The 23,929-nt window shown below is 50.6% G+C and overlaps 1 protein-coding gene across 2 annotated transcripts; it reads right to left on the reverse strand.

The window, feature by feature from the left end:
- Positions 218 to 15,858, reverse strand: RD3 (RD3 regulator of GUCY2D). Of its 2 annotated transcripts, none has more exons than NM_001164688.2 (3): positions 15,464 to 15,858; positions 4,816 to 5,122; positions 218 to 3,023 (listed from the first exon to the last, which is right to left on the reverse strand). In NM_001164688.2, exons 2-3 carry the CDS (start codon positions 5,109 to 5,111, stop codon positions 2,732 to 2,734), a joined length of 588 nt encoding a protein of 195 aa, NP_001158160.1. In that variant the 5' UTR covers positions 5,112 to 5,122; positions 15,464 to 15,858; the 3' UTR covers positions 218 to 2,731. The 2 variants fall into 2 exon arrangements, with proteins under 2 accessions (NP_001158160.1, NP_898882.1); NM_183059.3 differs by having other exon boundaries at positions 4,816 to 5,125.

Here is a 23,929-nt window from a genome sequence, read left to right on the forward strand (position 1 = left end):
AAACTTCTCCCTCTACATTTTTGTGTTTGAAGATTTTCATAAGTTAAAAAAAAAAATGTAGTCACCAAGTAGTACAAGCCTCCCACCCACGCCCTCTAGTGGCTAGTGGTATTGAGCTGGGTGCAAACAGGCTGGCTGTGGTAGTCTTGAACACACTCAACCCATCCCCTCCAAAATAACACCAGCCACTCATCAGATACTTACAAGGACACTCTCAAACTTTTTGTTCTTTTATTTGTGGTTATTGAGGTTTCAATAATAGTAATGGAAGCAGACCTCATTAGTCCCTTTAACAACCTGAATCCAGAGGAACAACTTCTGGACCCTCATGAATTTGAGAGCCACCAGCTGGGGATAGCCTGTAGTAGTCTGAGGAGTGTCTAAGGAGGGTGGTGGATTCTGTCCACATGCCTGCGGCTCGAAGGGAAGGTTTTCATTGGCAGCCAGTTACTTAAACTTAAGAAAGAACACCACATTGAAAGCCTAAGGTCTTCCTTCTCTTTGGGGAGAATAGGTACATGTAAGGTGATAGGGAAGGAGAAAAATAGACATTCTCTTATCCAGCCTCCTTTGAATCTCCCTCCAGGTTAACTACTTCCTCTAAAACATTTGCTGACCCACATCCAGGGCACCCGGAAAGCCCACAATGTGGAGGCCTTTTTCTAATCCTCCCCCAACACTTTTGCCCCTACCAGCTGAGCAGTCTGCTTACCAAGGGTCACTTCTGCTTGTTCCAAAACTCTTTTACGCCAGTTGTTCTTATTGTTATGATTAAAGTGCAAACCAAGAAAACTTAAGTGTAGAACTCCCACCAGACAAAACATATAGGTCACAAAAAAGCACAGCTTGGACCCACATCAAAAGTTTGGCAGCCAGGCACAGTGGCTCATGTCTGTAATCCCAGCACTTTGGGAGGCCAAGGCGAGTGGATCACGAGGTCAGGAGTTCAAGACCATTCTGGGCAACATAGTGAAACCCCATCTCTAATAAAAATACAAAAATTAGCTGGGGTGATGGCACGTGCCTGTAGTCCCAGCTACTTAGGAGGCTGAGGCAGAAGAATCACTTGAACCCGGGAGGCAAAGGTTGTGGTGAGCCGAGATCACGCCACTGCACTGCAGCCTGGGTAACAGAGTGAGACTCAGTCTCAAAAAAAAAAAAAAAAGTTTGGCAACCAAGTGAACTTTTTATGTCTTCAAATAAAATACGTAAGATGTTTAAGATGTATATTTTAAGTGATTCTCAACTTCTACCAATTACATTAATAAGCCAATCAACTCTTTCATCTTGATAGTGTTGGATCAGAGGTTTTCCACCATCCTATGATTCTCTGTCCAGATTCAAGTGAAAATCCAAAAAAACTTCAAAAGGGAAGTTCAAAACCAAATCATTCAAAAAAACTTTTTTCCACTGAGGGAATACACACTTTTCCCCCCTGTTGATTATATCTCCTCCGGGTATTTTATTTAGGCTACTATTAAGGTCCACTTGCATTTTCTGCATGTGTGCTGGTAGTTGAGGGTAGACACTTCCCCACCCATCCCCCTTACACCCCACTTCAACCCCAGAGTGTGTGGGAAGGCCTCCTGGCCTTCCAGATTTTCCATGGGTGATCCACACATTGGGTAATCCACATGCCCATCATCAAGGCCTAACCATGTTAGAAAAGGGAAGGACAATGAAGCTGCAGGAAGCTCTTCTAGAACATTTCACTCAGCTGCCTCAAGGTCAGTCAGGGGTTTGGGCATCACTTTCTGGAGAAAGCCAGAGAGCAGGTGTGACCAGCTGCAGAAAGCGGAACCCTGGAATTGAGAAACCTGGGCTCTTTAGGGCAGCATCTGAAGTCCTTGGAGCTGAGCCTCTGGAAGAAGCTGTTAGGGACTGGCCACAGCCCATGCGATGACATTGTGGCGTGGGGTAATGAGTAACCTACCTCCACCCCTAGCTACACTTCTTGGAGAGCAGCTTAGATTCTCATCCCACTGCCAAGGTAAGAGATGGATCAGGCCACAGGTAGGTAGAGATGTAGCCTTTGGACCTGTCCCTTCATAGCCCAGGATTCCAAACTCAGGAACAGACACTATTCATGCAGGAACAATCTCACTGTTCATGAGGAGCTGGCTGCAGTTAAAGGCAGAAGAAGTGTCCCTCTCTGAGCCTCAAGTTCCACATTTACTAGCTGAAGAGAGTGGATCTAAATGTCTCTCTGGTCCCTTCCAGCTGTGCCTGCCTATGAGGCTGTGTGTGACCCACCTGCAGTGGTGAGCTCAGCCAGTCACTAGCAAGAAGGCATACCAGCCAACAGGTCCCTTCTCATTGGGGATGGGGGTAGGGGGGTGAATGGGACATCCCTGAAATTGGGGTGAGAACCTAGGTCTTGCCAAAAGGCAGGGCAACTGTCCCCTTTTAGACAGAACCAGGAGATGAGGATGGGGCAATGGTCTGTCTTCCAAAACCTTGAATCTGCCAGTTAGGGAAGGGGCTGCTCCTGCAGACTAGCGCAGGAGAGGGAGAGGGCGGTGCCGCTCTACGACCTAACTCAGCTTTGTGGCCAGAGGAAGAGGATGGGGCAGGGAGTCGCTTCATTTTATAGCAGCGTCTTGGGATGGGGCCGCCTCTTGGGTCTCCTCGTCAGGCCTAGGTGGGGAGGTTCCAGGGCCCGGCGCTCCGGTCACCGGCCTATCATTCCCCCTGCAGAAGGCTCCGCTTCTGGGCAGGGAAGCGGCCGGGGTCAGTCGGCTTTGGGCGCCCGGAATTCGGGCATGCTCCAGGACCGCAGTGGCGGCGGTGTGTCCCGCTCCACGTCCTCGGAGATGGTCCTGATGTCGCTGGCGAAGGGCGAGATGCGCGCGCGGGTCTTGAAGGTGGCCAGGCTGCCGCGGGGCCGCAGGCTCCACTGGCGCGTCAGCTTGTGGGCCTCCTCTTCCTGCTTCATCCTCTCCAGGACCTCCTGCAGCACCGAGCGGAAGAGCTGGGACACCTCCTGCACCTCGGGCTCCTGCTCCGCCAGCAGCTGCCGGAACCTGGGCGGGAGGGGAGGGCGCTGGGGACATTCACCCACAACAGCGGGTCTGGCACCCCGGGCGTCTAACCCCGAGGGGCTGCCCGTGCATCCTCATGGCCAATTAGTCCACTCTACTCTGCTCCTGAAGCGAATCAGGAACCACCCCACGCTGCTACTGCTTCAACCAATCCTGCGTTCAAATCCCAGCTCTGCCACTTCTGGCCTCAGTTGGCCTCAGCCTCCTCGTCTGTAATCTGAGATGACAGCTGCCTTTGTGTGAGCTATAATGAACTAAGATATGTAAAGATCCTGACACTTACCTAAGGTTGTTGATGACGAAGCATTAAGGGGAGCCCTTTGCCGTGGCAGCCTTCTGGCTAAGCCTCTCCTGTCTCTTCTCCACCCACTGGCCAGCATGATCTTTCTGAAACCTATATCTGATTATGTCACTGCCCCTGTGATATTCCTTCCAGGTGAGCTGTTTGCCATGCACAGGGGTCCCCTGATACTTCCCTGGAAGACCCTGCACATCAGCTGGGAAGAATCACTTGTGGCCCCGACATGTCCCAGCTTCTCCCAAGGCCCTGTGTTTTCCCAAGCTGTTTACTCTGCCTAGGCTATCTTTGCTTAGAGCTCACAAGTTAATGTTAGCAAGTCTATTTAATACCAGGTTTCCTCCACCAGATTGAGAGTCAGGACTTCCCAGCAGTGACATGAGACCGGAAATGAGACAGGACAATCATGACCTGTGTGTACCCAGCCTTCCCCCTCACTTTTGAGGCTTGATTTGCCAGCCCAGATTCCCTTTTCAGCAGCTCCACCCCATGACCCACCCCCGTCCCCAGGTGCTTCTGGAATAGATACACTTTGGAGGCTTCCACAGTACAGAATCAGAGCTGGGGGAGAGTAAGGTTCTCCATCTGGAGGAAGAAAGGGGAGGGATGGTAAAAGCTCTGCAAAAACCAAGGAGTGTGGACGGGGCTGAAGAAGGTGAAAGGGGCTGAAGGAGAGGAGCTTTTGAAGGGAATTTCAAAGAAAAAGGTGTATAATAAATGCATATGTTGGTTAAAGGGATGGGTGAGGGAAGATTTTGGGAGACTAACAGGAGTTTTAAGATGTTTTATTGTGGATTTATATTCCTTTACAAAGAGAAATGTAGACAAAGAACTTGAGTTATTTTGAAATTACTCGATGCTTCCTTGACATCAGCACCAATCCTTCTGAGACAGGACCATGTGGTCACAGCTTCAGTAAGTCAGTAAGGTTACATTTATATTCAAGGAACATTGTTGTACCCAAGCTCTAAATGTGCAGTGCCCCAGGGTTTTGTTTGAACCCTTCCTACACACACACACACACACACACACACACACACTCACCTGTGGTCAGACTAGCATGAAAGCTAACATAAGCTAAGATAATTAAGAATCTGACTTTGGAGAAATGTCTGGAAAACTTCTCCGAGAAGGTAATATTGAAGATAAACTGACAAGAGAAAAGAAGCCAGGTAAGTTAAAATCCAGGACAATAACAATCTGGGCAGGAAGAAGAGAAAACTCAAAAGTATTGTGTTCTCTTGAATCAAAACTCACGCGCCTCCAGGAGCTGCCTCCTGCCTCCCGCTGGACCCCTAACCCTAGTCCAGCGTTTCATGGTCTCTTTCAGACTCCTTTTCCCCTCTTGCTCCTTCTAACAGATAACTAGGTCATCCAGGCTCCCTGACTCTAGTCCTGGTGGCCTCAGGCCCCTGCCACTGCAGCCACCTTTCCTGGAGCCTGCAGCCCAGCAAGGGTCCCCATCCCAGTGCTCACCTGAGGATAGCAGGCCCACAATAGGATGGGTGGATCTTAACGCAGACATCTTCCAGCTGCAACCGCTCAATGGGGCTGAGGTCATAGGTGGACCGGGGTGTGCTGGCCAGCCAGCTGTAGTCCACACCGGTGCAGACCTTTCTGACCGCATTGCTGCGCTCCCGCTGCTGCCTCTCAGCCTCTCGCATCTGCCCCGTCAGCTCCATCATAAGCGTCTCCAGCACCATCTCAGCAGGGCTCCTGGTGGACAGCCGGGATGGGGCCTCGTTCCACCGAAGCCATGAGATGAGAGACATAGCCCCTGGCCCTGCTGAGACAGGACAGATGTGCATCTTTCCTGGGCCCCTCTGTTAGTCAGAGTGGGGAACCTGGGAACCCAAGGGGGAGAGAGGAGAGCTGGGACCCAGGAGAGAAGACCTGCTCTGCCCTAACAGTTGAGTGGCCTCAAGTAGGTGGCTTAATTTCCCTGAGCAATCATTTCTAATTCTGTAAGACAAGATAGGGCTGTTGTGAGAAGCAGTTGTGAATAAACTTTGTACACTGTAAACATCACATAAAAGTAAGAGACTCTTGTGATTATGATCCTTAAAGCATCCCCAGGATTGTGCCCAGAGAAAGGGCCTCCTGAATCCTCACTAACTCCCAACAAAGCTGGAAACACATGGACTATGGCTGAGCACAAGCTTTCCCTATGACTTAAGGGGAACACACACACACACACTCAGAACAGATACATCCTATGTCAGTCTACCAGGAAAACACCCTCAGCTTCTAAATGCCTCCAGCCTATTGACGAAAGACACTTAGAACTCTATGGGGTTGGCCAGCCATGGTGGTTCACACCTGCAATCCCAATACTTTGGGAGGCCAAGATGGGCAGATCACCTGAGGTTGGGAGATCAAGACAAGCCTGACCAACATGGAGAAACCCTGTCTCTACTAAAAATACAAAATTAGCCAGATGTGGTGGTGCATGCCTGTAATCCCAGCTACTCGGGAGGCTGAGGCAGGAGAATTGCCTGAACCCGGGAGGTGGAGGTTGGGGTGAGCCAAGATCACACCATTGCACTCCAGCCTGGGCAAAAAGAGCAAAACTCCGTTTAAAAAAAAAACTGTATGGATTAACATTAACCTGAAAAAAACCAACTTACCCACCATTCATTCATTCAGCATTAATCAAGCACTGTGTACACATCTGTGGAGGGACATAAACACGAAAGGATGATGCCAGGATCCTGCTCTCCAGGAGAGGCAAGATTTGTTGAGTAAACGCTGCAACATCAATGGAGAGAGGGAACTCTGCTGGTGAAGCATAGAGTCAGCACTGATGTGGGAGGGGAAGGTGTGACCCTAGATGGTGAAAAGTGCCAGAGTGGGCTGAGAGGTGAGTGCGGGCTTCAGACACATGGGCTGATGGAGAAGGGGTCCCAGGTGGAGGGAGGATCCAGCCATAGAACAAGGTGAGACAGGTGGAGGTCTGACAGCAGCGAGCCTAACTCATCATGGAGCCCCCACACAGGCCTGCTAAATACAAATTTAGTGAAGGACAGACCGAGTAGATGAATGAACGAATGAATGAATGGGTGAATGAGCTACTCCATGACCTGTCAGATGTGGTCTGTGCTTCTGACAACAGTGAAGGGAAATGACATTCCCGAGCTAAAGCCTGAAGTGGGTCTTCGAGGGGTCTCACTTCATCTTTCTGCACCTTTCTCCCTCCAAGCCGTTCCCCCTTCCATGCACCAATGATCCCATTTCTGCTTAGACCCTCCATACGCAGAGAAAAGAGGTCAGATGAACTCAGTCTCAACAGCATGGTGATGAAGGAGGTGTCACCTCCAGAGGACACATGCATTTTTAGGCCACCCTCCCATCACCCTGCACCCCAGTGCTTAATGCAGAGAAATGAATTGTTAAGGTAAATAATCAGACACAAAGGAGAATATTATGATGGGGTAGCAGCAGCCTTCTGGAAGGCCACAGCTAAATCTCTACTTACCGATGGAGACTTGAATGACCAACTCCTTTAGCAACCAACAGAATTAAGAAATCTGAAAACAGGCCAGGCATGATGGCTCATGCCTGTGATTCCAGCACTTTGGGAGGCCGAGGAGGGCAGCTCACTTGAAGCCAGGAGTTTGAGACCATCCTGGCCAACATGGTGAAACCCCATCTCTACTAAGAATACAAAAATTAGCTGGGCATGGTGGCACATGCCTGTAGTCCCAGCTACTCAGGAGGCTGAGGCAGGAGAATTGCTTGAACTGGGGAGGCGGAGTGAGCTGAGATGGTGCCACTGCATTCCAGCCTGGGTGACAGAGCGAGACTCCAACTCAAAAAAAAAAAAAAAGAAATCTGAGAACTTTCATTCTCCACGCAACCTAAGCCTATCACCAATGGAGGCTTCAGATTACACAGCTGACCGCTTCCTGGGAGAGTGGGACGAAAGGACGAACCATTAGACCCTACTCCTGGGGTCAGTAGCAGCTAGGACGTTTACTTCTTAGCCCTTACCTGCTTTATGTGCCCAGAATAAAGAGGTTGGGTAGTACTGTGTGTACTGGGGGGTGGGAGTGCAGGGGTGGGGGTGTCATGGCCAGAGAGCCATGAGCATCAGGAGCCTCGCCTAAGGCTAAAGGATTCCATCAGTTCAGGCACAAGGACTGTAACTGTAACTGAATGTGTCACTTTCCCTGGAGTGTTTGTATTTTTAAAAGTCTATGGGTTAGATTGATGCTTAGCACCAAAAGAGTGAATGGTGTAGCCACTGAAGAGCACTGCGAGCATGCGGAGTCACTGTTCCTGCAAGGGCTACTGAATGTGCTGGGCTACTGCACAGCTCCATGCCTTTGTCATGTTCCTCCCTCTGCCTGAAATGCCCGCCCATTCTACATGGAGACCAGGTCTAGGGTCAGCACCCTCGGAAGCTTTTCTTGACCTTCCCATCTCCGAGGTAGATGTGGCCACTCTCTACCTTGTCCCCTGACTGCACTCTGCACAGGTGCTTTTCAGAGCTCAGGAGCACTTTACGGAACGTGACTGCCTACCTCCCCTGACCCCGGGTGTGGTATGTGGTCAGGGCCTGTGCCTTATTCACCTTTCCATCCCTGGGGCTGGACATGTAGTCAGTAGGCACTTAATAAATAGCAAACAAATGAATGAATGAATGCCCGAACAAAGGAACGAATAAATGATGGAGAAGCTATAACAGTTGGATCAAGGAACAAGCCCCACAGACCTGACCTGACCTGATCCTGAACAAGAAGGCATTTTCCAAAGCTCCTTAGGGAGCTTTTTTTTCTTCTTAATCTGGGTTTGAATTTGAGCTGAAAGAAGAGAGCAAGAGAGTGGCTTGGCAGCAGAGGGTTCTCCTGTGGCCGGGAGAAATGTGAGAGAAGAAATGGAAGACACTGAAGAAAACTTTTGCCTCCAGGGCAAATTGACTGCAGAATATCCATGCCACAGCCACATAAGCTAACAAACTATTAAATAAAGTATGTTCCGTTTCCTCCCTTGTGAACTATACCTTCCTAACAACATGGAGGGTGAGATTCAGACAGCATTCTTGGACTCCTCAGAGTTCTTCTCTGACACATGGAGGTGGGTTGGGACTGCTCTCGGCCCTCAGCCTGCCTCCCTCTCTTCCCACCTCCGCTTCATCCCACATGGTAAGGGGCCTTGCAAACACGTGTGGGGACACCCCAGCTTTCACCTCCAAGGCCCAGCCACACCCCTGCAACCAGCCACCTCTGTGCCACCCTCTGACTTAGGGTTGCTCGCTGGCAGTGCTGTCTGCCCTGCTCAGTGGCCCCTTCTGTGGGGAAGTGGGCGGGCGACTGTCTGGCAGGGAATTCTGATTTCAGTCCCTAAGCCTGACCTCGAAGGGAAGTGCCCACAGGGTGGCATGTCTCCTGGACCCCCAGACACTTCACCTCAAGGCAGAGTAAGGCCAGAAGCAAGCCCGAGTACAGTCTGGGGTGCAGCCTGTATGGGGTCCTGCTTCCCTGGGCTTAAGGCTCCCGACCTGAGCTGGCCGCTAGAGAAGGTGCTTTGTGACCCACCTCCCCCATCTCCAGATGGCAGGGGCTGAGTGGAGTGATCCCACCTGAGTCCTGAATTTTGTGGGCTCTAAGCCTCTTTGGCCCAGGTGTAGGGTCTCAACAGGGGAGGAGGGTGTTCTGAGTCATCTCCTCCCCATCCCCTCACTTCCCGCAACTCTGGCCAGGACTGGAGGCTTTGGCAGAAACAAGATTTCTGCTGGTGCTATTTCTGTCCCCAGTGCCAGCTGCTCCCCCAGAAGGCTCTTCAGTGGGTCCGATTAAGTTCTTAAGGGCAAAGGAGGGAGGGAGAGACAGAGGGAGGAAGAACAGAGACAGAGAGGCAGGAGGGCAGGCTAGACAGACTCCAGAGGGGGCTGCCTTATCCCAGGGTATCCCCAGAACCTGAACCTCGGCTGAGACTGGGAAGGACGTGGTGCCTGGGGGAGGTCTGTTAAACAACAGAAAGAGTGACCTTTGGTGAGTGTCTGGCACAATTTTCTACACTGCCTGGCTCCAGATTCACCACCGTGGCAGAGCCAACTCCTCAGTGTAAGCCCCAAGGCCCCCGCACTTGGCTCACCACCTGGCGAGTGGCAGCGCCATGGTGACCTCAGAGTCTTCCCATGATGAATGGTTCCCACTCAGTCAAAGGCACTTACAACCTGCCTCAAACACATGAACACTGATTGAATCCTTGTTTTAAAAAATTAGGATAGGCCAGGCACGATGGCTCATGCCTGTAATCCCAGCACTTTGGGAGGCTTGAGTTCAGGAGTTCGAGACCAGCCTGGGCAACATGGTGAAACTCCGTCTCTACCAAAAATATAAAAAATTAGCTGGGCGTTGTGGCATGCGCCTGTAGTTCCAACTACTCAGGAGGCTGAGGTGGGAGGATAACTTGAGCTAACTTGAGCCTGGGAGGTAGCGGTTGCAGTGAGTTGAGATCGCGCCACTGCACTCCAGCCTGGGTGACAGAGTGAGACCCCATCTCAAAAAAAAAAAAAAGGAGATACCCTTTATCAAGTTAGGAAAGATCCCCTTCTTTATATTTAAAAGAAAAAAAGGCTGGGTGTGGTGGCTCACACCTATAATCCCAGCACTTTGGGAGGCCAAGGTGGGTGGATCACCTGAGGTCACGAGTTCGAGACCAGCCTGGGCAACACAGTGAAACCCCGTCTCTACTAAAAATACAAACATTAGCTGGGCATGGTGGCGGGCACCTGTAATTCCAGCTAGTCGGGAGGTGGAAGAATCGATTGAACCTGGGAGGCAGAGGTTGCAGTGAGCTGAGATCGTGCCATTGCACTCCAGCCTGGGCAACAAAGAGAGACTCCGACTCAAACAAAAAAAAATTAGGATAACTGAGGAAATCTGAATATGAGCTGGATGTTAGAAAATAATCCATGGGGCTGGGCACGGTGGCTCACATCTGTCATCTCAGCACTTTGGGAGGCCGGTGCAAGTGGATCACCTGAGGTCAGGAGTTCGAGACCAGCCTGGCCAACATGGTGAAATCCCGTCTCTACTAATAATACAAAAATTAGCCAGGCATGCATGCCTGTAATCCCGGCTACTTGGGAGGCTAAGGCAGGAGAATGGCTTGAACCCGGGAGGCAGAGGTTGCAGTGAGCCGAGATTGCACCATTGCACTCCAGCCTGGGTGACAAGAGCGAAACTCTGTCTCCAAAAAAGAAAAGAAAAAAAGAAAACTATCTGTGGAATATTGGCCAATAGCTCAATCTTAGGAGGTGCTGAAGTGTTTATGGGTGTCTACAATATCTTACATTCAAATAGTTCAGAAAACATTACATAAATATGTATACACACACCCCATAAACAGGATGTTGGGGCTCAGAAACCAATATCCTAAGATATGGCATTTGGACATGCTGAGCTGAAGAAGCCTCGTGGTCTCTCTGGCCCTCCCCACGGCCACCGTCTCTTCCAAAGCCTTTGTCTGCCTAAGATCCAGATCCACCAAAGGGAACAATGGTTTTTTTCTTCCCCTTTCTTAAGACCGAGAATGAGCCCCCACCTGAACAGACCCTCTCCCAGGATAATGTACAAGTTCATTTCTGATCCCTGCCCCGTTCATTCTCCCTAGTAATCCTCTCACCAGAACTGCTGTTCTCCCCCTCCCATAACCTGCTTTGCCAGGATGATATATAAGCTTCCGAACCACAGTGTGGGGTGAGCAGTTCCTCTGTGATTCTCCCCATGTACGCGTTTGTGATAAATGTGTACGCCTTTTCTCTAATTAATCAGCCTTTCTTGAGTTGATTTTTAAGTGAACCTTCATAGGGCCAAGCCCTTGGCCCCTACAAGAGCAAATATGGCAAAATATTAGCAATTGTTGTATCTGGGGGATATTGATAGATATTTATCACACTTTTCTGCATGTTTATGCATATTCAAGTTTAAAAGTTGGGAAAGCTCTACCTCAAAACTCACTTGTGCAGGAAGCCTTCCTGATTCACTCTACCTGATGGCCTGCGTTGTTCCTCGGGACCCCTGCCTGCAGTCCCTATTCTGCTCATTTCTGCTGCTGTGTCTTTCTTCACCCACGAGCCTGGGCATCGAGGCCTTGCACAGTGGCGTGTGCGGGGAGGGCCTAGGGCCTGGAGACTGAGGCGCAGGGCTGAGTTCTCATCCACTCACTCGCTCAGCAGACACAGGAGGAGTGTGTGACCTGCCTGTCGCTGTGCTAGGTGCTGGGACTCCCTCAAGGAGTGTACACTCAAGAGAGGGGGGAAAACAAGCAGACAAGCAATTGCGATGCCACCAAAGGCACAGCTCTCCTGAGTGGAAAGGGACTCCTGGGCCTCGGCTGTGTAAGCAGTGCAGGGTGTGCCCAGGAAGTGCCTGCCCCTGTTCTCTGCATAACCGCTACTGCTCATTAACCAGCGAGGCCTTGGTTTCTGCATTTATAAAATGGTGTTCAGACACCAGCTCAGCCCACTCCACAGGGCTTCTCTGAGACTCGGGCAGGAGACAATATGTGAAAACATTCAGTAAACTATACAAATCCTGTGCAGTGATCAGGGGTTGTAATTCTTATGAGACACAATCAGGTGGCTAAAAAGTTCACCTGGAGGCCGGGAGCGGTGGCTCACGACTATAATCCCAGCACTTTGGGAGGCCAAGGCAGGCAGATCACTTGAGGCCAGGAATTTGAGACCAGCCTGGCCAATATGGTGAAACCCCATCTCTACTAAAAATACAAAAATTAGCCAGGTGTGGTTGCAGATGCCTGTAATCCCAGCTACTCAGGAGGCTGAGGCATGAGAATTGCTTGAACCCGGGAGGTGGAGGCTGCAGTGAGCCAAGATGGTGCCACTGCACTCCAGCCTAGGCGACAGAACAAGACTCTGTCAAAAAAAAAAAAAAAAACCCACCTGGAAAGAGGTCTTGAAGGCTCTATAGAGAGGAGACAGATGACCAAATGCAATGATGACACAAAACAAGAAGAAAAGAAATGAAAGCCAGCTAGGAACATGGGCTGGGCCCTGCTTGTTAAGACCCCTATCCATCTTGGGGTCCTTAGTAAGAATCTTTGGGCTGCGTTTCCCTCTTTTGTCTGGGAGCCGGGGTGGGGACAGAGTTGCTGCTGTCCATTGACACATACATGCCTTCCGTTCCCTCTCCCCATATTCCCTCCGTGGAGTCTGGGGCCTGGGGTCCAGTACCATCCCCACTCTCACCCCCACTCACCACCTCCACTGCTTTTGACCTCAGATGCATGCTGGGTGGCCTGGCTGCACCCCCACTCCGCCTCTACTTGATCACCAGCTCAGGTGGAGCAGGCTGGGCTTGGGGAGACAGTGCAGCCTTCAGCAGATAAAACCTGAATTCAGTTCCTACGCCCTTCCCCTCCCGTGTATGCTGCCTTTGTCCAAGTCACCTTCATGGCCCCAAGCCTCAGTTTCCCCAATCTATAAGGGAATAATAAAGGTACCTATTTCAAGTTACTGTGAAAATCAAATGAGATTATGTCTTTGTAAATGTTTTATTTTTATAAACTAACAATAAGCTGATTCACCTAGATCAGTGGCTACCATTGTCGCTTAGTACAGATTCTTACCCTTGGGTCCTAGGGAAAATTCAGGGATTTATGAACTTGGGTGGGGAAAAAAGTCATCTTTATTTCCACTAACCTTTAACTGAAATGTGGTATTTCTTTAGTTATGAATGAGGGTCATAGACCACAGTAATATCAGTAGCCCCATGGCTTTATCTCCAGCAGAAACCACAGATTTTTCACAAAATGCTTTAAAGTTGTTATTCTTGAATTATCTGGTATGCTCATCACTACTATGAAATTGTGGCATTTATTAGACTTGCTACTAGGTTTTATTATTTCACATGTTGATAGGGAAGCACACATATTATTATATCATAAATCATTTTTTCTTTCTTTTTTTTTTTTTTGATAGCTGCATTTCAATAGAGCTTGTTTCCTTTGTACCCCAGTGAATTTACTTTTATGCATTTAGAAGCATTTTTCTAGGAACGTGTCCACAGGCTTCACAGACTCCCAAAGGGGGCACAAAAATAAAGGATCCCCTGGCTTGGTGCAAGCTTGACCCCAACTTTGTTCCTGGCCTTCCCCAGCCCTGGCTTCTGGTCACCGTGTTGGGAGAGCTGAGCCTCCCTGTTTCAAGAGAAGGCCCAGGTGGTGAGGCCTCAGGTTTACAGAGCAGAGTGGATGATGGGGAAGCCCTCGCACGTTCTGTCTCTGCCTTTTGGTGTCACTCACCCACGCCCGTTATCTTCCATTCTCTGATCTTCTCTTTCCTCTTTCCTTTCTCCTTCATTACCCCTTCCACCCCCACACTCTCAGAGCCTTCCTTTCAGCCTATTTTTGAACATCCCTGAGGATAATGTCTTTTCTGTGGCTCCTGGGAGGCGCCACTACCAGCTGTGGCTCGTTAGCTGTGCTGGAAAAACTCTCGCGTTGTGCCTCAAGGGCAAGAGGAGTCTCTGGTTCCACTTGGCACTCAGAGGGGGACCAGGGATGTCTCAATGGTGGGAACAATGGGGAGTGTGACCTTGGAGCTGGAAGCAGGGCTCTGACCCCCTGCAGGAGGGATGAGAGTGCCCTCACCTCTAGTGAGAACTGAGGCCCTGCGCCGGCCCCAGCCAAACAGTGAGGGCGTGCAGACCTTGCCCAGGAAGGCCAATTTCTCAGTGCAAAGGGAGCCATGGCCAGGGAACCCGGCCCGGGTCCTCCACCTCTGAAGCTGAGCTAGGCATCTGCAGGCCAGGGTGAGGGGCTGCCCTGTGTGACCCGCCGGACCCAGGCATAGAGCAGCACCTGAGTCAGGCTGTCCCAGAGCACTGGCAGCTTCACTGCAGGGGCAGGCTGGCTCTGCTGACGCCAGACGCTCAGTCTGGGCAGAGACTTCTCAGTGGGGGCAGAGAGTAGGTGCTTCTCTGGCTAATCTGCCTCCCAGCTCTGTGTTTGATAAGGCCCAAGTCCAACTTTACAGATTGCAAATTGACCTTATTTCTCTTTGGCATCACAGAAAAACAACCTATAATCCACCAAGCCAGATATGAGCGGGCCTGACCTGTGGATCCTCTGCCCACCTGACAGACATCTGCTCATTTGTCGGGAACCCCTCAAGAGACAACTCCTCCCTGCAGCCGGCCCCTCACTTCCCCCCACCCATGGAGCACTGATCCCAGCCACCAGGGCCTGACACAAGGGCCCATCACCATGGCATCTAGCAAACACGTTTCTCACGCTTTGGGTTGTATTTATCTCTTCCCCACCTAGCTATGAATTCTGCAAGGGCGAGAGGAATGTGGGTTGAATCTGCTGCACATGGTAGCACTTGATAAGCGGTTCCTGAATGAATGAGTGAATGGCAGCCAGTCCTTCCCATTCTGAGGCAGAGGTGCAGCCAGGAGAGGGCGTGTACACAGGTCTGACTGACCACAGTGGGAGGGGACTGACCCTCATCCCTTGGTCGCAGCTGGACTTTCCTTCTAGGCCCGATCTCCCTGGCGCCCCACCCTGCACCCATCTGCCTGGGCCCACTCTCCTGGGCATGTTATCAGGGATGCACAGACTGCTCCATGTTCGAGGGGACTGAGGCACATCCATCACCCTCGTGCCCTGGGTGCTGCTGCATCCCCAGAGCCTGACTCTGTGCCTTGGACTTAGTAGATGCTCGAATCACAGTTCGCAAACCCATGCAAGAGTCTCTGATTTGGGTTTCGCTTTCCTTCCCCCTGCCTGTGTCCACTCTATAAAGGCAGAAAGGAACCTGCTGGAGCTGGGTCCTCCCCGAGAGGCTTGCAGTTCCAGAACAGGCAAAAACAATGGCTTCCCACAGGTTTACAAAACAAGGAGCAGGCTATAGCCCCGAGGAAGCTGCAGGACCCTCATCGGTTCCAACTCCTGTGGAACTGATGAGGACTAAAGGGGCCTTCCTGTGGCCATCTGGGTCCCGGAGGTGGGCGGCTTTCTAGGCTCCCCAGCCTGCCACACCCCTTGAGGCCACCCCACCCAGCTTCAAGCCTCAGCCCTAACTTCCAAAGGTGCAGCTGTGCCAGGGTGCGGGTGGGGAAGACACTGTCTCCTGGGGAGACCTCCATCTTACCTCTGAGGTCAGCCTCTGCTCAGGTGCAGCGTCACAGCAGGGGGCCTGCGTTCTGCTTCCCAGTCTGGGAGAAGAGAGTGTCTGGATATTTTCAGGAAAAAAAAAGAAAGTTGAGCAGCCACAGCAGGGCAGGGCAGTCTACATCCTCAAGTCTCCCTCAGCTTCTCTGCTGCTGCCGGCTGGCCTCAAATTTTGCCTCTCTTTGGTTCTCTGAGAAGTTTTACCAAGAGAAGAGACAGGAGGAGAGATCCAGCCTGGACTATTGTTTGTGGGGTGTGTAGGTGTGTGTGTGTGTGTGTGTGTGTGTGTGTGTGTGTGTGTGTGTATGCGTGTATGTATCCCGCGAGGCTGGAGCCACAGCTTCCCTGATGAACCATGGAGGCGGGCCAGCTCCTGAGCTGCGGTTGCCCTGGAGACCCACCTAAGCCTCTTTGCCTGGAGCAGCATTATCTGTAGAGGGAGTGGCTGATCTGACACAAAAGCCTGAGGCGACCCAGGCCCAGGCAGTGAGGGAGCACTTGTGTCCAGATGGCATTCTGTCCGCTTCCTCCTCCAGCCGGTGCTCAGTGTGGCACAAACTGGGCAAGACCATTCTCACCCAACCCTCTGCTGAGCCCTAGGTGTACCTGCTGTTGGCAAATGTTTCCAGCTGCCTGGTGGGTGGCTCCTGGATGGAGATCCCCTCTTTCTATCAGCTCCCTCCTACAGGGAAGGGGTGATTCTGGGTGCTGAGGACAGGGACCTGTGAAGATACATCTCCGCCTTTGCCCCACCACATCCCTTGCCTGTCTTCCTCTCTGCTTATCTAAATTATTTCCTTCCCTCAAGGCAAGCTCAAGAGCAGACAGTTCTGACTTTCAGAAGGAGGGGCTGTCCAGGGAGAAGAGGAACATGGAACAGAAAGCATTGACGTTGAGGTATTTGAGATAACATTTGGGGATAGCAGAAGCATCCTGTTGCTGTTCTGCAGCATCCCACACTCATGTCTGGGCCTCCTTCCTGTCTCTGCTCTCTGGTCACGCTGTCACTTGTAGACTGTTCTGCCTAGAAGCCATGTGTGGGCCAGCTTGCACCTAACAGACATTAGGTAGCACTAAAACAGATGCACACTGCCCTGTGAGGGGCATGGGAATACTGTAATGGGCATGAAGCTGCATTATAATAGATCTTAGGTAATCCTGTGCTGGGTGATAGCGTGACTTTTGCACACATCTGGTTTTGATTGTGTTGGAAATAAAGCAGAAAGTACAACCAAGAATAAATTAAACAATGGCTGATGAAATGGACTCAGGTTGCCCACCTGCCTGCCTGCATGATTTCGTCCCTGGGTGATTTGTCACTTCGTGCTTGCTCTGTGGCTGGTTCCACTCAGCTGGTTCCATCCGCCTTCCCTCTTCATCCATCAAGCAGGCAAGATTCTTGAGTCAGGAGTTGGATCATATACTTCTCTTGACCAGTTCACAGCACGACAGCCCCAAAGATTGAGTGGGTCACTTGGGGATGGAAGATCCCCACATTTGAGGGAGCTGAAGCTGACTTCCTCTGACCCACAGTTCCCAGGCGGCCTCCACCTCAGGGCCAGCTAAGGCCAGAGTCACCCAAAGCAGGTAACTGGGAGTCCCCACCTCTGAGCACCCCACCACTATCCTGGCACTTTCCCAAGGGGCGTGGCTTGGAGGTCCAAGGGCAGAAATTCCCAGGCATTTCCACACTGTAGGGAAGGGAGCAGGGGGATGACAAGACTTTACCTTCCCTTTAGGAAAGTTGCTGGAGGCAATGAGGAGAGGAGGGCATGGACTAAGTCACATGCTCATCTGTGCAGCACGTATTTCTAAAGCACCATTCTACAGGGGCACCAAGCTAGGAGCTGGCTGAGCCTGGCTCTCCTCTCTGCACACATCCCAGCCAAGCCTGTGTGTGCTGGATTGCTGGATCAGATGAGGAGGAGGTGGAAGTCTGGCAGGCAGGTGGGGAGCAGGGACAGCATTAGGGCCCAGAGTTAAAGACTTTTATCTCCAAGTAGTACAACCTTGGGTCTGCTACTGACCATTCTGTGTTTGAATAAAAACAATTCATCCCTTTTCTATAGCCATGCTTTTGTATTAATATCTCCCCTTCTAATGCACACACAATGAATGTAAATGAGATCATAGAGGCCAATGTCTTGAGCCATCAGAAAGATTTTGTCGCAGCAGCTGCCAGATGAGCTTCAGGACTCCTGACCCTGGGATGCCAGGGAACAAGCACACAGACGACTTATAGCAGTCTCCCTGGCAGACGCAGCTGGCCCCTCTCCTGCATTTTTCAAATGGTGCCTGTGATTAGAAGAGGGAGGCACTCCCTAACCCACGACCCTCCCTGACAGCTGCCTTGATACCGTAACTCACAGGCCTTGGTGGGTGTGTTGACTCCTCATTTATTCTGATTTGTTCACCTGTGGAGGATTTGTGATTATCCTTGCTGAGTGTGAATTTGCTCTGGGGAGAAAAGGTGGCGGTTGTTTTTCTCTTGTTTGGCGTGGATGGAAGTTGCTGAAGCATAGATATTCAGCAACCATCAAATGCAGAAACACCGGTGGGGCCCGCAACATTGCCTCATAGATGGCATTTGATTAATAAATTGGAAATGTGGAGTTATGAGGCGATTACATGCAAGGCTGGATTAAAATCCGCATGGAGATTAGAGATAAGCCCCGGCTCTGCGTGTGTGTGTGTGTGTGTGTGTGTGTGTGTGCACGCGCGCGCTCCGTTCTCTCCTCCCTGGAGTCTTTCCAGGCTATTTCAAACCATTTCTAACCACTCAGTCATGCGTTGGGTTTTCCAAATCCTGCAGAAGGTCTGTGTAGCCCTAATCCCAAAGAAGTTGAATTAAATGGACAGAATATTCATAGGTACAGACCAGATTTGCAGTTACTTAGACCTCTTCTCTCTGGGCATCCCTCTTTCTATTCCTGTGGTCACATTTCCTCTCCAGGTGCTACGGACTGAATGTTGTGTCCTCCCCAAAATTCAATCTTGAATCTCCCAAGGTGATGGTTAGGAGGTGGGACCTTTCGGATGTGATTAGGTCGTAAGAGGGGAGCCCTCAGGAATGAGATTACTGCCCTTGTGAAATGGTCTCAGGGAGCTTTTTGGCCCTTCTACCACGTGAGGACACTGTGAGAAGATGCCTCCATCAACTAGGAAGTGGGCTTTCAGCAGACACTGAATCTACTGGCACCTTGATCTTGGACTTCCCAGCCTCCAGAGCTGTGAGAAATAAATTTCTGTCATTTATAAGTCACCAGTTTATGGTATTCTGTAATAGAAGCCTGAATGGACTCAGACATCAGGTACAGGAAGCAATGTGTCTGACGGCAGGAAAAATGAGAATGCTCCCTTCCCTGCCAGCTAGCTGGGAATGAGGCATAAAGCACTTCTCATTCATTCATTCATTCACCAAGCATTTATTGGCTATATACTCTGTCTAGACTGCACCTTGACACTCCATTTCCATAGACTTCACTGACCACAGCTTCTTCTTCTTCTTTTTTTTTTTTTTGAGACAGAGTTTTGCTCTTGTTGCCCAGGCTGGAGTGCAATGGTGCGATCTTGGCTCACCACAATCTCCACTTCCCAGGTTCAAGCAATTCTCCTGCCTCAGCCTCCCGAGTAGCTGGGAGTATAGGCATGTACCACTACGCCTGGCTAATTTTGTATTTTTAGTAGAGATGGGGTTTCTCCATGTTGAGGCTGGTCTCGAACTCCTGACCTCAGGTGATCCACCCGCCTCAGCTTCCCAAAGTGCTGGGATTACAGGGGTGAGCCGCTGCGCCCGGCTACAGCTTTTCAGTTCTGCCCTGTAGTCTGATGGACTAATGTGAGGGCCTGTGGCAGAAACAGCTAGCTGTCCACCAAGAGTCACATTTCTCCTCCAGAGTACATGAACATGTAGTAGACATGTTCCTAGGAAGCAGCTGTCCAGCTGGGGACTTCATTCCCCATCCCTCCTCCCATCTAGGTGGGGCCGTGTGATGATAGGGTGTAGATGGAAGGGACATGAGTCACTTCAAGGTGTGGCAGGTAGACACCCCTGTGCAACTGTCCACCTTCCACCTTTCCCCTTTGCTGATCGTCAGCCAGGACTCTGAGGCCCTCGGGGTGGGGGAGACACAGTTTTGAAGGCGTTTAGGTCCCTCAATCACTTCATGAAAAGCTGCTCACCCATCATTCATGTTGAACTCTAATGTGTGCAAAAAATCATATGCTTGTTGGGTCAAAGCACTGAGTTGGGGTTTCTCTGTAATAGCAGTTGGCACCACCCAGCTCACAAAAAACCCTGTGAAAAGGGGTGGGTGTGGAAGTGCTGCCCTTTCCTAGGTTCCTGGACATCAGGGCTCTTCCTGACATGTTCGCCGCTGGTTTTTTCACCATCACCTTAAAGACATTACTTCATCCCCTGTTGTCTCATGCCCCTGTGCATGGTGCCCACTCTACCCAGAGTCCCCTCCTACCTGGGGAAGTTAACTTACCCCTCAAAGTTTAGCTTCATGGTAACCGCTTTGTGAATTATCCTCTGTCTGCTGCTCCCTCCTCTCCACTCTGAAGCCTCATTCTTTTTTTTTTTTTTTTTTTCTTTTGAGATGGAGTTTTGCTCTTGTTGCCCAGGCTGGAGTGCAATGACACGATCTTGGCTCACTGCAACCTCTGCCTCCTGGGTTCAAGCAATTCTCCTGCCTCAGCCTCCCAAGTAGCTGGGATTACAGGCGTGTGCCACCACACCCAGCTAATTTTTGTATTTTTAGTAGAGCCAAGGTTTCACCATGTTGGCCAAACTGGTCTCGAACTCCTGACCTCAGGTGATCCACCCACCTTGGCGTCCCAAAGTGCTGGGATTACAGGTGTGAGCCACTGTGCCCGGCCTGAAGCCTCATTCTTCCTTCTGTACACACAGTTGATCCTCATTACCTACCAAAGTACTGGCAAATTTGCCTACTCACTAAAATTTATTTGTAATCCAAAAGTCAATACTCATAGAACTTTTTTTTTTTTTGATGCAGAGTCTTGTTCTGTTGCCCAGGCTGGATGGAGTGCAGTGCTGTGCTCTCAGCTCACTGCAACCTCTGCCTCCCAGGTTCAAGCGATTCTCCCACCTCAGCCTCCCAAGTAGCTGGAATTACAGGCTTGTGCCACCACACCCGGCTACTTTTTTTTTTTTTTTTTTTTTTGAGATGAAGTCTCGCTCTGTCGCCCAGGCTGGAGTGCAGTGGCGAGATCTCGGCTCACTGCAAGCTCCACTTCCCAGGTTCATGCCATTCTCCTGCCTCAGCCTCCCAAGTAGCTGGGACTACAGGCACCCGCCACTACACCCAGCTAATTTTTTTGTATTTTTTTAGTAGAGATGGGGTTTCACCATATTAGCCAGGATGGTATCAATCTCCTGACCTTGTGATCCGCCTGCCTTGGCCTTCCAAAGTGCTGGGATTACAGGCGTGAGCCACCACACCCAGACTAATTTTTGTGTTTTTTAGTAGAGACAGGATTTCACCGTGTTAGCCAGGATGGTATCAATCTCCTGACCTGGTGATCCGCCCGCCTAGGCCTTCCAAAGTGCTGGAATTACAGGCGTGTGCCACCATGCCCGGCCTAATTTTTGTGTTTTTTAGTGGAGACAGGGTTTCACTGTGTTGGCCACGCTGGTCTCGAACTCCTGAGCTCAAGTGATCCCCTGCCTCAGCCTCCCAAAGTGCTGAGATTACAGGTGTGAGCCACTGCACCTGGCCTACTCATAGTATTAGATTGCTGTAAGAGTAATTGCGGTTTTTCCCATTAAAAGTAATTACTTTTGCGCCAACCTAATACTTTTGTGGTCATTCTAGACATGTAGAAAAATGTTAGTGACCTGATGGACTTGTTCCCTGCTGAGCTTGAACAAGGCACGCTCTGCCTTCTTGTTTCAGCTCTCATGATCTTAAGTGTCCTTTTCACAGTCTATTTAGTGCCCACTTTTCATACTTTGTGCTTTTTATTTGTGATTTTGATATCGAAAATGGCCCCAAAAGTAGTGCTGAAGGGCCTTCTAGTGTTCCTAAGTGCAAGGAGGCAGTGACACGCTTTACTACATGAGTTAGATCAGCTTCCTTCAGGCCTGACTTAGCACTGCTGGCGGTGAGTTCAGTGCTAATGAATCAACAATATAGAGTAAATAAGGTGTCTTTCAATAGAAATGCACATAAAACAAGGTTATGTATTGGTCAGCTGACAAAAATGTCATGACCAGAGGCTTCAGGAACCTCATCCAGGACGAGGACTGAACTTCACCCTGTATTTCCCCTAGGAGCAATGGTTCAGTGTTTGCTAATTCACAACTTTATAGATAATAACTACTGTGAATAACAAGAATTGGCTGTGCTTCACACCATTTCCTGAGCATTTAATCAGCATCCCTGCAGAAGAAGAGCTCCCCAAGGTCAAGGAGATCAAGCCCCAGCACACGGTAAAAGCTAAGTTCGTGTTTGCTGTACCCACAGAGAACGCATTAGCCAGAGTGACTGGGCTTGGTCTCTGTGTTAAACAAATGCCGTGGACTTGCTCCCCACTCTCCTGAACCTGAAAGAGCCCCAAGAGACGTAATGTCACAGGCTCAAGGACCACAGACAACAGATGTAAGGAAGGCAGGAATGGACTGTGGGGTGCCGAGGTCACCCAGAAGTCCAAGGATGCACATTCCAGGGGAGGTGAGGAGGACATGTCACTATTAGAGGGCGGTGGAGAGCCTGGGTATTCTCCATCCAGCTCCAAGCAGTGGAGGCATAAGACAGTCAGAACCTCCCTTCTGCTCAACCTGGAAGTGCTTCTGGAACAAGGTAGAATAATGGGAAATCAATGGGAAGAGGGAGTCAGCCATGCGGTGTTGCATTAGAGCCAAGAAAACCTGAAGTGGCACAAGCTGCACTGGGCCCTTTTGGGAGGGCTGATGAGGCTGTAGAGGGGATGTGCTGGGGCCTGGGAAGGAAAGAGATGCTATTCGTGGATAATGTGGTAGAAGGAGTGACTCTGTGGAATTAAACACACACATGGCTCAGGTGAACCTGGATGTCACATGTGGATCTTAACAGATTCTCACATCAGTTCCCAAAGAAGAAGGCTGGTGAGTCCAGAGCAATGAAGCAGCCTGGCAGAGTCCATCTCCTGGCTACCAGAAGCCACCTGGACTTGGTGTGGAGAATGAAGGAGAGAGGGGAATTATCAGGAAATTCTGACTCTGGCAGCTGAGTTGATGGCAGTGAGAAGTGGCGTCCAGGACTGGGACTGAGCCCCACGGTGGTGAGACATGGCGTCCAGGAGGAGGACTGAGCCAATGGTGATGAGACATGGCGTCCAGGAGGAGGACTAAGCCCATGGCAGTGAGACACAGCGTCCAGGAGGAAGACTGAGCCAGTGGTGGTGAGACGTGGTGTCCAGGAGGAGGACTGAACCCATGGCAGTGAGATACTGCGTCCAGGAGAAGTAGATTGGAGGGGAAGCAGAGTGTGTCTTTGGCTTGGTGGAGGTGGAGGAGGAGACTTCATGGCTCCAGGGAGGAGAGGCTCCTGGACCAGCTCCATATGCAGAAGAAAGGGTTTGGCTAAAGCACACACCTGGAGGCCATCGAGGTGGTGTTCCGATCCCTGGGCCCTGGCCAAATTCCAGACTCTGTTAAACAAGGAGCATGTGAGCATTTAAGAAAGGATGTGGAGATCATGTGGCATTAGCAGATGTTCACTGTCAACAGGTCAGGGGAAGCCACCCCCAAAGATGCCATGAGAAAGCATGGCCAGGGACAGTTGCAATGCCTCTGTGCCCTCATCACATCCCCTCATCCCTCCTCTGCCTACAGGGCAGCTCTGGCAGGCCGTTCTGTTTGAGATCAGGGGTTCCTGTAATTGATAGCATCCCAGCTCAAGCTCACAGCCACCTTTTCACTCTCTGCCCTCTGAGGCCAGGGAAGCCCACTGGGCCCATGTGCAAGTGTGGTCCTGAAGTGTAAGTGGTTCATGTCACCAGGACAATCTTCATTTGGGAGACAGGAACCAGAAGATACATACTCCACACTCCTGTCCACCACATGGACAGTTCTGGAAGGCTGCCGTTACAGTTCTTGAGAGGTGCCACACAATCAGACACTGTGGCTGTGTTGCTCCCATCAGTGACCTTGATAACACACCCTATGATGACTTTCCTCCTTCCTGTCTCACTCTCCTTGCACTCTCGTTTCTGCTTCCTGGACTGCCTCCCAAGTCCTGGAAGCTATACCCAAGTCCTTGTTCCAGCATCTGCTTCTGGGAAAAGCAGAGAGGAAATATGAAGAATATAGGGAGCCAAGCACCGTGGCTCATGCCTGTAATCCTGGCACTTTGAGAGGCCAAGGTGGGCAGATCACCTGAGGTCAGGAGTTTGAGACCAGCCTGGCAAACATGGTGAAACCCCATCCCTACAAAAAATACAA

The sequence above is a fragment of the Homo sapiens genome, chromosome 1 (genome assembly GCF_000001405.40).
Source record: "Homo sapiens chromosome 1, GRCh38.p14 Primary Assembly".
Lineage (NCBI taxonomy): Eukaryota > Metazoa > Chordata > Mammalia > Primates > Hominidae > Homo > Homo sapiens.